Source organism: Homo sapiens, chromosome 3 (genome assembly GCF_000001405.40).
Source record: "Homo sapiens chromosome 3, GRCh38.p14 Primary Assembly".
NCBI classification, from domain to species: Eukaryota; Metazoa; Chordata; class Mammalia; order Primates; family Hominidae; genus Homo; species Homo sapiens.
In genome coordinates this window covers 40,419,720-40,434,071 of record NC_000003.12, presented here as the reverse complement: position 1 = coordinate 40,434,071, position 14,352 = coordinate 40,419,720, and the positions used below count along the sequence as shown (strand labels likewise).

Sequence of the window (14,352 nt, the reverse complement as noted above, 5' to 3'; positions counted from 1 at the left end):
CCTGATGGCCTGCCCTGTGGATTTAGGACTTGCCTAGCTAGCCCCATAGTCTCACAAGCCAATTCCTTGCAATAGATCTCTTAATACTGGCTCTATTTCTCTGGTTGAACTTTGACTGATACGCCAGACGTATCATTTCATCTGGAAACAGTTCAGCAAGTATCTAAACCAGAGGTCCCCAACCCTCAGCCAGGCAGTAGACCAGTACTGGTCCGTGGCCTGTTTAGGAACCGGGCTGCGCAGCAGGTGTTGAGCAGCGGGCAAACCAGCATTACCATCTGAGCTCCGCCTCCTGTCAGATCAGCAACAATGCGAACCCTATTGTGAACTGCGTGTGTGAGGGATCTAGGTTTGCTCCTTATGAGAATCTAATGCCTGATGATCTGAGGTGGAACAGTTTCATCCTGAAACCATCTGTGCATCCCCACCCAGCCCCACACTGTCCGTGGAAACATTGTCTCCCTTGAAACCGGTTTCTGGTGCCAAAAAGGTTGAGGACCATTGATCTAAACAGCAAGGGTTCTTGAAAAAAAAATCCAAGATACCATTATTTCATTTAGTTATTTACTTATTTTGAGACAGAGTCTTGCTCTTCTGCTCAGGCTGGAGTGCAGTGGCGTGATCTCGGCTCACTACAACTTCCACCACCTAGGTTCAAGTGATTGTCTTGGCTCAGCCTCCCGAGAAGCTGGGATTACAGGTGTGCACCACCACACCTGGCTAATTTTTGTATTTTTTGGTAGAGACGGGGTTTCACCAAGTTGGCCAGGCTGGTCTCGAACTCCTGACCTCAAGTAATCCATCTGCCTCAGCCTTTCAAAGTACTGGGATTACAGGCATGAGTCATGGCGCCAGGCCGGTTCCATTATTTTACCTAAACAAAAATTAACAGGAATTCCTTGATAATGTTCAGTGTTCAGATTTCCAATTATCTCCTTATTTTATACTATTAAAACTATTTTTGAACTAATGATTTTTTTTTCTAATACCTTTAGAGAGGTTTAAAAAAAGGGTGGGAGGCTCACCCTGGGAAGAATTTTTTCCATAGCTCCAACAGAGGGCATTCAAGTCTCATGTTTCGAGAGAAAAGACAGTTGTCTCATTTCTATTACACCCTTAGTCATTTAGCTCAGGGCTTGTCGCACAGTAGACTTTTGGTGAAAGTATCATGAGTGAATAAGTAAATGGGTGAAATAAATATGTTTTAAAACTTGTATTTATTAGCTACATCCATGTCAGGCACTGGCTAAGTGCTGTATTTTCTCTTAACTATCCCATGAGGTAGGTATTATGCCTGTTTTATATATGGAGGAAGTCAAGACTCAAGGAGACTGAAAGATATGATGAAAACCATAGAGGTAATAAGGAGAAAATTCTTGAGTTAACCCAGATCTGTCACTTTATATTGTAGTATAGGACATACAGATGATGTATAAATGGTTGAAAAAGGGAACATCTGTAACCACTACCTAGTTGTAGAATAACACTGTCACCCCAGAAGCCCTGTTGTTATGAACTGAATATTTGTGATCCCCCAAATTTATATGTTGAAGCCCTAACCCCCAGTGTAGGATTTGGAGATGGAGCCTTTGGGAGGGTAGATAACTAGGGTTAGACAAGGTTATGAAGGAGTGGCCCTCATGGTGGGATTAATGCCCTTGTCAGAAGAGATCCCAGAGTGCCCTCTCTCTCTCTCTCACTCTCTCTCCCTGAGAGCTCAGAGGAAAGGCCGTGTGGACACAGCATAAAGGCCACCATCTGCAAGCCAGGAATTGAGCCCTCACCAGGAATTAGTCAGCTGATGCCTTGATGTTGGAATTCCCAGGCTCCAAAACTGTGAGAAGATTAATTTCTGTTGTTTAAGCCACTCAATTTATAGTATTTTATTATGGCAGTTCAAGCAGCCTAAGACACCCATTTATCCTTTTCCAGATACAGCCTCCATCTCCTCCCAAATTTCAAAGTAATAATTTCCTTGCTTTTCTTTAGCGTTTAACCTTCTGTGTTTAGTTTTGCCTGTTTTTAAATTTTGTATTAGGCCAGGTGCAATGGCTCACGCCTGTAATCCCAGCACTTTGGGAGGCCGAGGCAGGGGGATCACGAGGTCAGGAGTTTGAGACCAGCCTGGCCAACATGGTGAAACCCTGTCTCTACTAAAAATACAAAAATTAGCTGGGCGTGGTGGCAGATGCCTGTAATCCCAGGAGGCTGAGGCAGGAGAATCGCTTGAACCCAGGACGTGGAGGTTGCAGCGAGCCAGGATTGAGCCACTGCACTCCAGCATGGGTGACAGAGCGAGACTCCATCTCAAAACAAAAATAAAACAAAACAAAAACAAACAAAAAACCTTTTGATTATGTAGTTCTTTTGTTTTCATTGATGTACAGTATTTTCTAGTATGGCTGTATCGCTATTTATTTATTCATTTATTCCGTAGGATAGGCATCTTGGTTGCTGCTTAAAACATTCTTAGGCATGTATCCTGGTATATCTAAGACTATATATCGCTAAGGTATATACTTTGGACTGGAATTTCTTCAACTTTATTAGACAATACCTCCATTTTCCAGAGTGGTTGCATTAATTTACATTCCTACAGCAGTATAGGAGAGTTCCAGTTCCACATCCTCACTAATTTTGGTATTGTCAGACTTCTAAGTTTTGCCAAACGAATGAGCATATTGTACTATTTCTCTGTAGTTTTAATTTGCATTATCCCAATAATGAGATTGAGCATCTTTTCCTATGTTTATTAGACACTTAGTTGTCTCCTTTTGAAAAGTGTCTTCTCAAGACTATTGCCTGTTTAGAAAAATTGAATCATCTTCCTTTTTCTTACTGATTTGTAAGTGTTGTTCATATAATTTGGAAAGTAGTCCTTTATCAGTTATATATGTTGTAAATACCTTCTTCCACTCTGTGGCTTGTCTTTTCACTCTTTTAATGATGTTTTTTGAGGAACAGAAGTTTTACATTTTAATGTATTAAATACTTTCTTATGGTTAATGCTTTTTGTGTAGTGTTTAAGAAACCCTTCCCTTACCCAGTATCCTAAAAATATTCTCCTACATTTTCTTCTAAACCTTTATAGGTTTTTCACACTTAGGTCTTTAAGCTACCTGGAAACATTTCTTGCAAGTGGAGTGAGGAAAGGGTCAAATTCATTTTTTCTCCATTAAGATATCCAATTGTCCTGCATTTTCCCACTGCTCTGATGTGACACCTCTGTTATAAATCAGGTGTCTGTATGTGAATGGGTATGTTAGACTACGGAAATATAAAGCCAAATTCCTAACTACTATATGATACTGCCTTTCTGTGTGAAAGGCAAAGTTATGCAATGGGTTTTAGACTCAACCAGGCCCAAAGCTCAAGCCCCGATCCCTATTCCCCAAATCACTCAGTGACTGAGTAATGCTGTCAGGTACTTTTACCTCTGAACCCATGCTTTTTTTACATAGCTGTGATTAGGAATAGACACTATTTGTGCTACTCATCACTTTTATCTTCACATATTTCAAATCAAAAGACTTGCTTTGGTTGGAGCTTTGGGGTTTGGGGTTCTATAGTTGTATTAGTTTACTGTGACTGTGTAACAAATTGCCACAAATTTAGTGGCTTTAAACGTCATCTTTTTGTTACTTTATAGTTTTGTAGGTCAGAAGTCAGAGTGGGCTCAACTGGGTTCTCCACTTAGGGTCTCAGTAGGCTGAAATCAAGATATGATCTGACCTGGACTCTTATCTGAAAGCTCTGGGGGAAAATATGCTTCCAAGTTCATTCAGGTTGTTGGCAGAATCCAGCTCCTTGCAGCTGTAGGGCTGAGGTTCCTGGTTTTTTGCTGATGCCGCCAGGGATTGCTGTTAGTTTCTAGAGGCTGCACTTAGGGCCTTTGCACACGGCGCCCTCCATCCCCAAGCCGGCAACTGCATGTGGAATTCTTCTCATGCTTTGAATCTCTGACTTCGTCTTCTGGAGAAAATGCTCTGCCTTTAAAGAGCTCATGTGGTGAGGTTAGACCTACCTGGATAAGCTCTCCATTTTAAGGTCAACTGATTTGTAATTACATCTGCAAAATCCTTTTGCCATGTGACAATGTAACCACATAATTGGAGTAACACCAGAGGGGGAAGGAGTATTCTGTTCACCACAGTAACAGTGCTAGATATGCCACTTGAACTGCAGATTTCACAATGGTCTATCTATAAAAATTCTTGTGTGTGTGTGTGTGTGTGTGTGTGTGTGAGAGAGAGAGAGAGAGAGAGAGAGAGAGAGATAGTTTTGCTCTGTTACCCAGGCTGGAGTGCAGCGGCATGATCTCGGCTCACTGCAACCTCCACCTCCCAGGCTCAAGCAATCCTCTTACCTCAACCTCCCAAGTAGCTGGGACTCCAGGTGTGCCCACAACTTCTGGCTAATTTTTGTATTTTTTGGAGAGAAGAGGTTTTGCCACGTTTCCCAGGCTGCTCTCGAACTTCTGGGCTCAAGGAATCCCTCCTGCCTCAGCTACTCCCAAAAGGCTGAGATTACAGGTGTGAGCTACTGCACCCAGTCAAAAATTCTTCGGTGTGTGTCAGAAAACCTGAAGTACCTCAGTTTATTCTAACTTCCCAAATGAGTTAGAAATGTTGACTAGGATTTGCCTTCATGGAGCTTTGGCTCTCTTTCTTGCACATACAAATTTTTTTTCTTGCAAACTCTTGGTGATTTGGATGCTGTTTTTTCCCTGCTATCTCTATAGTTTATTGCCCATTTCTTAGTCACTCATGGAAACAACCTCAATCAACAAATATGAATAAATACTATGTTCATAGCATATGTCCAAATCCAAAATCACACGTAAAAGGTATCAGCCATAATAGGTGTTTTTAGATGTCTGTTGAATAAATGAGGAGTGATGTACAATAGGCTTTGCCCTTAAGTAGCCTACTCTGTCTTTTAGAAATAAGCTGTACACATATGCCAAGATAAATAACAATATGAGGACTTACGTGGCTGGTTTTGAAAAAGTGGTCCAGGAGATAGAGCATAGTATGTGTGTGCAAGGAAAGCTTTGTGGAAGACTTATATGAAGGAACTGGACCTTGAGAAACATACATGATTTGGATGGGTGGGAGGAGGATCTATAATATAGTAGAGAGGATGGCGGGAGCAAAGGTACAGTTTGGGATAGGAGTAGCCGTTCTGGATGAGAACCAAGATTTGAGTGTCAGGTTGTGGACTCACAGAGGCTTAGAATTTCAAATAAGGTACAGAAATGCTTGACTCAATAATCTCAAGCAGTCAAAGGTTTATCAAAGTAAAAGCACTTTGAACTCTCTGGAATAAAGGTGATATTAATGAATGGGTTTCTTAATTTGCTAGGGAAAAAAATTTCTCTCATAAATATCACCTAGGGTCCTTAGGAGAAAGAGTACCATATGGAAGTTAACACACACACACCCCTTGCAAGTCAAAATAAAATAATAGTTCTTTATTCCATATTCAGCTAAGAAACAGCAATATGAAATAATGCTGATTTTTAGTTTGTAGCCATTGGATTTGCTGGAGTTCTTTCTCATTCGACTTTGGAGATAAATATTCCTGCAGCTTCCTTTTCTTTCCCCAAAGTCAAGACCTATGACTACTATGCAGAGAGGTCTATGATCTGGGAAAGTAATTGGTTAGTAAATCATAGAGTAGGATGTTCGTTCTATGACAACATCAAGTATACTTGTGGGAATGGTGACAAAAATATATACACCATGATAACAATGGAAAGTCAGCCCTTTGCTAAGCAAAAGCCTAGCAAAGGCAGTAAAATCTGGAATGCAATAATCTTGCTAGGGATCAATGTGTTTTTATGGGAGGGCATAGCAATACAATGGTGAGATGAGGATGATGACAAACACACAGGTTGCAATCTAGTGACCAGAGCCCTAAGTGGGAATTCCACTTGGAGAATGGTCTATAGTTTTCTGGGAGACCTTTTTTATGTCTCTGTGCTTCGGGATCTACCTGTATGACAGAAGCCTGGCTGTGGCTGCTGCCCTGAAGGAAGTAAGTCTTCTCCCCCAGATACTATATTCTACTGATCTGAGGGGGTTCACTGCTTACGAGATTGCTACAAGAAAGTCTTAGTTAAAGACCAATGGGAAAAACTATAAAATGAGATTCTGATTGGCGAAATGCTTAATGGGTATCTTGCCAGGAAGAATACTGAGGGAGGGAAATGGAAACTGAGCCCTGAGGTCAATTCTTCAACATTAAACTGATACCTTCTCAACTTACTCTTCCTCTGGGGAACTTAATATAAAGAGCCTGACCTTCGTGGCCTGTCTCTTCTCTGTTCCCCAATAGATCAGCATGTGGGTAGTGAGGTCTCTGAAGAACAATATGCACAGAATAGCCAAGGGATGCCTCAAGAGGTGCTGTGGCAGAAATCAGTATTTGAGAGGCACGTGACCTAGGTGTTTGATTTTAGTTAGTTGTATTTCCTGAAGGCAGCCACTTCACCTGCATTGCCTGGTGCCACCCAGGCTGACTCTAAGCAGCCATTGGACTCCAGGAGCTGCTTTGAAGGCTCAGTCAGAATCCACTGCATGGTCAAAGGCATGCTCGGAGTGCCTCTTTCTTCTGGTTGCTGAACACAGGTATGCAAGAAATGCCAGACACAGCAAGGCTGCCGCTGTGAAGAAAGCGAGGGTGCCCACAAAGACAGGTGGTTCTATGGGCAGACGGATCAGAGGGCTTTCAGCTGGGATCTGGTTGGTCAGGCTGAGCATGTAGCCAAGAGACCAGGCTATGCTGCTATTCCCCACCTGTGGAGTAGAGGAGATGGCTCAGCGCTCAGGGCAAGGCTCAAGGCTGCAATCACATACCGGAGTCATACTGCTATCAACCTCACAAAGCTCCCATGGGAAATTGTGGCCCAAAGAGGTCAAAGGACTTGCCCAAGTTAAGACACCACACTGTAGCCACAAAGGCTTGGGGAAATCTCACCTCCAGCGCTGCAGAAGAAATAGTCAAAAGAACAAATTCTCACAATCTTGTCACAGCCAAGAGTGAAGACGGCACAGTTAATAACAGTGAAAGTGTTCCTGTTGTCCAGGAGCACAGGAGTGTTTGTGGCTAGAGAAAGAGGCTAATGAGTGGTTTACTGATCCCAGGACCAGTTCCTAAGAATAGAAAATCAGCCCAAATGGGAAGCTGACTGTCAATTTATTCTGGTAGTTCTATCTATTTTTGCTTTACATGTTTTTAGGGTGTTTTATTAGGTGTATAAATGTTTCACCTTTGCAATCTTCATAGTGAATTGAACATTTTATCATTATGTTGTAACCCTCTGTGTCTAGAATGAGGCTCTTGGTCTTAAAGACTGCTTTGCCAGATACTAAATAGTTATACCAGCTTTCTTTTGGGTAGTGTTTGATAATTTAACAAAATTATCTTTCTATCTTTCCATGTCTTTATGCTTGAACCATGTTTCTCTTATAAATGGCACCTGCTTGATTTCTAAAAATTCAATTTGACATCTCTCTTTTAACTGGTAGGTTTAGTCCATTTATAATTATTGTGATTATTAATATATTTACACTTCTTTCTAATATCTTACTTTTAAATTTTCAATTAGTGCTATTTTTCTATATATATTTTTTCTTCTTTCCTGCCTTAAAAATGATATCTGTGGCCAGTCATGGTGGCTCACGCCTATAATCCCAGCACTTTGGGAGGCCGAGGCGGGATCACCTGAGGTCAGGAGTTCAAGACCAGCCTGGCCAACATGGTGAAACCCTGTCTCTACAAAAATACAAAAATTAGCCAGGCATGATGGTGGGTGCCTGTAATCCCAGCTACTCAGGAGGCTGAGGCAGGAGAATTGTTTGAGCCCAGGAGGCGGAGGCTGCAGTGAGCCAAGATCACACCATTGCACTCCAGCCTAGGCGACAGAGCGAGACTCCGTCTCAAAAAAAAAAAAAAAAAAAGAAAAGAAAAAGAAAAAGATATCTCTGTGTTTCCTTTGACAAGAAGAGAATTTTAGGTTACTCTTATGTCCCTGTATCTTATAACTCCTTACCACACCCTTATCATGTGGATATTTTCTATACTTGAGTCATATGAATGGAGTTTTTTTTAAATACTTTTCTTTAGTGTTCGTTTTCTGTTTTTTTTAATATAATTTTTTTTTTTTTTTTGAGACAGAGTCTTGCTCTTTCGCCCAGGCTAAAGTGAAATGGTGAGATCTCGGCTCACTGCAACCTCCACCTCCCAGTTTCAAGCAATTCTCCTGCCTCAGCCTCCTGAGTGGCTGGGAGTACAGGCACATGCCACCATACCCAGCTAATTTTTTGTATGTTTAGTAGAGACATGGTTTTGCCATGTTGGCCAGGCTGGTCTCGAACTCCTGACCTCAAATGATTCACCTGCCTCGGCCTCCCAAAGTGCTGGAATTACAGGCATGAGCCACAGCACCCGGCTTTTTTAATGTAAATTTTAAGCCACAACATCATTTATTCTTACTTCCAGTGTTTTTGTAACATCTCCTGGATTTATTTCTCTTCTTATTTTATTACTTCCACCAAAAATATTTTCATTGTAAGTCTTCTGTGCAGCAAATCTTCTCAAGTCTTTTTACACCTTCACATTTTTATTTATTTATTTTTATTTTTATTTTTTGAGATGGAGTTTTGCTGTTGTTGCCCAGGCTGGAGTGCAATGGCGTGATCTCGGCTCACGGCAACCTTCACCTCCCAGGTGCAAGTGATTCTCCTGCCTCAGCCTCTGAGTAGCTGGGATTACAGGCATGCACCAACATGCCCAGCTAATTTCGTATTTTTAGTAGAGACAGGGTTTCTCCATGTTGGTCAGGCTGGTCTCAAACTCCTGACCTCAGGTGATCCGCCTGCCTCGGCCTCCCAAAGCGCTGGGATTACAGGTGTGAGCCACCGTGCCCAGCCTACATCTTCACATTTAAATACTAATTTGGCTGGACACAAAATTCTTTATAATTAAAAAAAGGGAACTTTTAACTTAGAATATTATGTCAACTCAAACTGGCATTCAAATGGAAAGTCATTCTCCATTCTTATAATATACTTTACTGGTAATTAGATTTATTAGAAGCAAAGCTTAGAGAGTACATGCTACCAACAGTCCTTATGTCTCCAGACATCCTTATTTTTTTGTAGATGACTCAATTTTATTTATGTAAAAGTAGATAGTCAGAGGCCTAATGCAGGATATTGATTGGTTTAATCTAATTATTGCTGAAGCTGGTATTGAACAGGCTGACTCCAGACATCCTTCAGGCTTCATATCAGCTATTCCTGAAATGAGAAAATTCTCTGGAACCTGGGGAACATAGTGCTGGCTGAACATATTCACAAGGCTTAGCCCTGCCTAAAAACAAGGTATGGAGGTCCTTTCACCTGTCACCAGGTGACAGCTGTGATTCCAGCTTTGGACCATTCTGGTCACTTGACCATCATATATATATATGTATGTATTTATAGATATCTATAAATATACATATTTTTAAATATATTAAACCCTGAGCTAAGAATATCTTCCCCATCCCCCAAATCTTTGTCAGTAAATATAATGACTTCAGGTTCATTCAAAGAGAAAATATTTATTTAATGCTAATGCAAATCCATCAGGCCCTAAGGCCTGTATCTTACTCTGATATCTGAATAAAATGGAGAAGAATTAGTTACTATCCTCTTTAAAAAACTGTTACATTTAAAGCTTCTTTTCAGGATGAAAAGTCTCATATCCTTAACATATTTATTTATGAATTCAACCAACATTTACTAAGTACCTTCTAGGCTCTATTCCTTGTGCAGAGTGCTGGGAATATGAAGATACCAAGACAGGTCTCTGCCCTCCAGGACCGCCTAGTCCATTGGCCCTTGGCTTCCAGTCTTTTCCAGGAGAATGTATACCCATGAGCAACTCTTCTAAATTCTCCATGACCTCTTCTGGGAAACTCACAAGGGATCAGTCTGATCAGCTTCCACCCAGTGAGTTTAACTCATTAATACCCTTTTACCTTCTACATTTGTTCCACACACACATACAAACCTCTCTGTTGGGAAGAAGAAGAGAAAATGATTTGTGCTTAACTTACTTCTTTTTCAAAGTGTATTTGGGGCCAAGTCTCCTCTGTGAATTTGTAACCGTTCACAAACAAGTGGTAGATGTAGTTGGCTGAGAAGCAGTAAGAGCGGGCATATACCTCATCAAATTTGGGGAGCAGCAGTGGGAGCTGAAAGGTTTAAAACATCTGAGAGGCAGGGCAGGCAGGTATGTTTTAAAATGAACACCTTGGGTTAAAAGTCATGTTTTAAAGAATCTTATCACCCATAATTTCATAATAGAAAATACTTTATAATACAATCATATAATCACACAATATAATTATGAAAATATCCCTATATAATATCACAATATACTAATCTTTAAACTCATTGAGTGCTTATTATATGCCAAATATTGTTCTAACCATTGTGCATGTAGTTATAACATTAATTCACACCACAGGTGTGGGAGTAGATTCCCTTATTCCTTTTATTTTACAGATGTGATGGAAATAGAAGAGCATAAAGGCTAAATTCAGAATACACACACATAGAATAGATTCTACCATATTTTTTTGTACTGACATTGATCCCTTCTCTTTAAATACTGACCTGACTCCAATTCTGTGAGCAGAAATTCCAGGTGCTGGAGTTGAAGGTGTCCAGGGAAAAGCTACCTGAAAGATTTAAAGCACTGGCTGTGTAGTAGAATCCTGCAAAAGCCTGGAAATAAGTAATACAGAAGAAAATTAGTTCTCAGAATGGGGTATAATAGAAAGGTTTATGGGTGAGGAATAAGAAGGTGGCTAACAAGTCAGCAGAGGAGAAACAGAAAAGTGAGAAATGAATATTCAATGGGGAAAGGAATCTTTCAGAAGGTTTTGCTCTTACCACAAATGGCCCTTTAATCTTTGGCTGATAAACCCCATCAAAAGAACAGGTTTCTTGATCATGGCAAGCTTTGAAGTCAAATATGGAAGCCACCTTCTCCTTACACAGAGATGGGTCCCCAGTTCCTTCAAAAGTGATGACATCATTGGGGTTATAACTTTCTGGCCTCTGGTCCACAGTGCACAGGCTATCAAATACATGGCCCATGGTGAAGCTGATGCTATAATCCCGAGGGTAACAGGGATTGGTGAGATGGTTTTTGGTAGGAGAATTCTGTAGGTATAAGAGTAAGGTGTTAGACACGTATGTTTATTGCGGCACTATTCACAATAGCAAAGACTTGGAATCAACCCAAATGTCCAATAGTGATAGACTGGATTAAGAAAATATGGCACATATACACCATGGAATACTATGAAGCCATAAAACATGATGAGTTCATGTCCTTTGTAGGGACATGGATGAAATTGAAAATCATCATTCTCAGTAAACTATCGCAAGGACAAAAAACCAAACACCACATGTTCTCACTCATAGATGGGAATTGAACAATGAGAACACATGGACACAGGAAGGGGAACATCACACTCTGGGGACTGTTGTGGGGTGGGGGGAGGGGGGAAGGATAGCATTAGGAGATATACCTAATGCTAAATGACGAGTTAATGGGTGCAGCACACCAGCATGGTACATGTATACATATGTAACTAACCTGCACATTGTGCACATGTACCCTAAAACTTAAAGTATAATAATAATAATAATAATAAAATCTCTAAGTAAAAAAAAAAAAAAAAGAGTAAGGTATTAGAAACCACTTTTTTTGTGGAGAGCCAAGTATTTCCCTTTTGCAAATTCTATCACTACCCTCCAATGCCAAGAGAGAAACAAAAAATACCATTCTGTGTCAGCATGTCTTTGATCACAGGTTGTCTAGATAATTCAAGTAGGGGTGGGAAAAGGGTGTGTGTGTGTGTGTGTGTGTGTGACAATTACCTCGTACCAGGCATAGCGCTAGGCTCTCTCTCACATTATCTGATCCAGCTCTTATGATAGCCCTATGAACCAGGTTTTATGAACTTCACTTGGTGAGAAAATGGATATATATAATGTATCATTTTAAGTAGAATATCACCCATCCATCTAGCAAAATAATCCAAAAGGTACAAATAAACATATGAAAGTGAAGTCTCCTTCTCATCCACTTGCAGCCATCAGGCCTTTTTCTGGAAACAATCACTATTGCCAGTTTTTGTGTATCCTTCCAAAGATCTGGCATGCACATGCAAATATATATATTTTCTCCCATGCTTTTCTTTTTTTAAAGCCATAAATGGTAGCACTTTATATACCCCATTCTACCCGTTGCTTTTCTCACTTAAAATTATATATCTTTGAGATCTTTCCATTCATTGTACTTATACAGTGGCCTATTTTTTTAGTAGCTGCATAGTATTCCACTGTACAAATAAACCATACTTTATTTAAGGAATATCATCTAGATGAACATTGAGGTGGTTCCCAATCATTTTGCCATTACAAACAAATATCCTTGTCACATATAAATCTTTTATCCATTGAAATTTATTTGATTTAAAGACTCAGAGACTTGGCTTTACTTTTTCCATATGACTATTCAATCTTTAATCTACTGGTGCAAAATACTCTATTTTATGCTAAAGTCCTGAATGTTGTTGATTCAATTTATGAACTCTCTTTTCTAAGGAATTGGATTTGAACTATGTTCAACTTAAGCCACTAAGGCATACTGCTTCCCCTACAGTAAAATCTTTTCTTTTGGCTGGGTGTGATGGCTCACATCTGTAATCCCAGCACTTTAGGAGGCTGAGGCAGGCAGATCATTTGAGGTCAGGAGTTTGAGACCAGCCTGGGCAACATGGTGAAACCCCGTCTTTCCTAAAAATACAAAAATTAGCCAGGCGTGGTGGCACGCACCTGTAGTCCCAGCTACTCAGGAGGCTGAGGCAGGAGAACCACTTGAACCCGGGAGGCGGAGGTTGCAGCAAACCGAGATTGCACCATTACACTCCAGCCTGGGTGACAAAGCAAGACTCCGTCTCAAAAAAAAAAAAAAAATTTAAATTAATTAATTATTATTATTTTTTGTTTTGTAGAGGTGGGGTCTCCCTGTGTTACCCAGGTTGGTCTCAAACTCCTGGGCACAAGAGATTCTCCTGCCTTAGCCTCCCAAAGTGCTAGGATTACAGGTGTGAGCCACTGCACCTGGCCACCCTACAGTAAAATCTTGACTCAGACATTTAGCCCAACCCTTTCATTTTACTGATGAGGAAACTGAGGTACATATTCAAGTAATGCAATTATTTAACAAAGGTCAGTGACAAGATTCTGCAAAAATCCTATAAAAGCTTAATATTCATCAAATATAACCCAAATGAGTGTTTTCCAGAAAAATCTTCATATGACTGAGAAGGAGGCAAACAGGCCCCTTTCTGCCTCTATGGTATGAAAAAAATCTATGATTTTCAAAAATTGTTACATATAATCTATAGCATATCATACTTGGGTCACCCTATGGCTGAAATATTGGTTGAAAGAAAAAATATGCGGGGCGTGGTGGCTCACACGTGTAATTCCAGCACTTTGGGAGGCCAAGGCGGGCGGATCACGAGGTCAGGAGATCGAGGCCATCCTGGCTAACACAGTGAAACCCCATCTCTACTAAAAAAAAATAGAAAAAATTAGCTGGGCATGGTGGCGGGCACCTGTAGTCCCAGCTACTCGGGAGGCTGAGGTAGGAGAATGGCGTGAACCCGAGAGGCAGAGCTTGCAGTGAGCCAAGATCACACCACTGCACTCCAGCCTGGGTGACAGAGCAAGACTCCATCTCCAAAAAAAAAAAGAAAAAAAGAAAAAAGAAAAAAAAATCAAACTAATCAATTGGCTATTTAGTATCTACTTCCAAATCTGATTTGTACTTTTTTTCTTTTCTAGTATAGTCTGAAGGGAGATTTATACTTTTAAAATGATTAAAACTATAAATTATTTCTGGCTTGGCCCAGAGAAGAAACAAGATAACATAAATTATTTCTGACTTAGTACATAGGAAAAGCTTAGTAAGTATTAGTTCTTTTCTTTTTTTGTGTGTTTGAATTTTTGTTATGGCATTCTTTAAGTATAATTTGCCAATGTGCCAAGTTCAGGCATTCAACATTCAACAGTCTTCACCGAGCTTAGTGTTTGCAGGGCACTGTCATGAAAAAGTCAGTCAATGGGCTCGAGGGAGAAAAGTCCACTAGAAAACTACAGCATAATCTGATCTTAGAGTAAAACTGGTTAAAACTGGAAAAAACAATGATAGAAACTATTCTTGATAGTGATAGAAAGCTTAAAAAATATACACAAAGAAAATACATTTAACAAC

The 14,352-nt window shown here is 40.3% G+C and overlaps 1 protein-coding gene and 1 long non-coding RNA gene across 4 annotated transcripts in view; one reads left to right on the top strand and one right to left on the bottom strand.

Annotated features, from left to right (window-relative positions):
* Positions 1 to 14,352, top strand: part of ENTPD3-AS1 (ENTPD3, EIF1B and MYRIP antisense RNA 1) — a 62,358-nt gene that overhangs the window by 19,237 nt on the left and 28,769 nt on the right. The gene's annotated exons all lie outside the window — the stretch shown is intronic.
* Positions 5,328 to 14,352, bottom strand: part of ENTPD3 (ectonucleoside triphosphate diphosphohydrolase 3) — a 41,561-nt gene continuing 32,536 nt past the window's right edge. For 2 of the 3 annotated variants that reach the window (NM_001291960.2, NM_001248.4), the window contains exons 8-11: positions 10,950 to 11,222; positions 10,671 to 10,781; positions 10,109 to 10,246; positions 5,328 to 6,800 (exon numbers count right to left, since the gene is read on the bottom strand). In NM_001291960.2, coding sequence (NP_001278889.1) covers positions 6,564 to 6,800; positions 10,109 to 10,246; positions 10,671 to 10,781; positions 10,950 to 11,222 — 759 coding nt within the window. In that variant the 3' untranslated portion in view covers positions 5,328 to 6,563. Of the gene's footprint in view, positions 6,801 to 9,072; positions 9,306 to 10,108; positions 10,247 to 10,670; positions 10,782 to 10,949; positions 11,223 to 14,352 lie in introns of those variants that run through there. The other variant, NM_001291961.2, reaches the window with a different exon arrangement.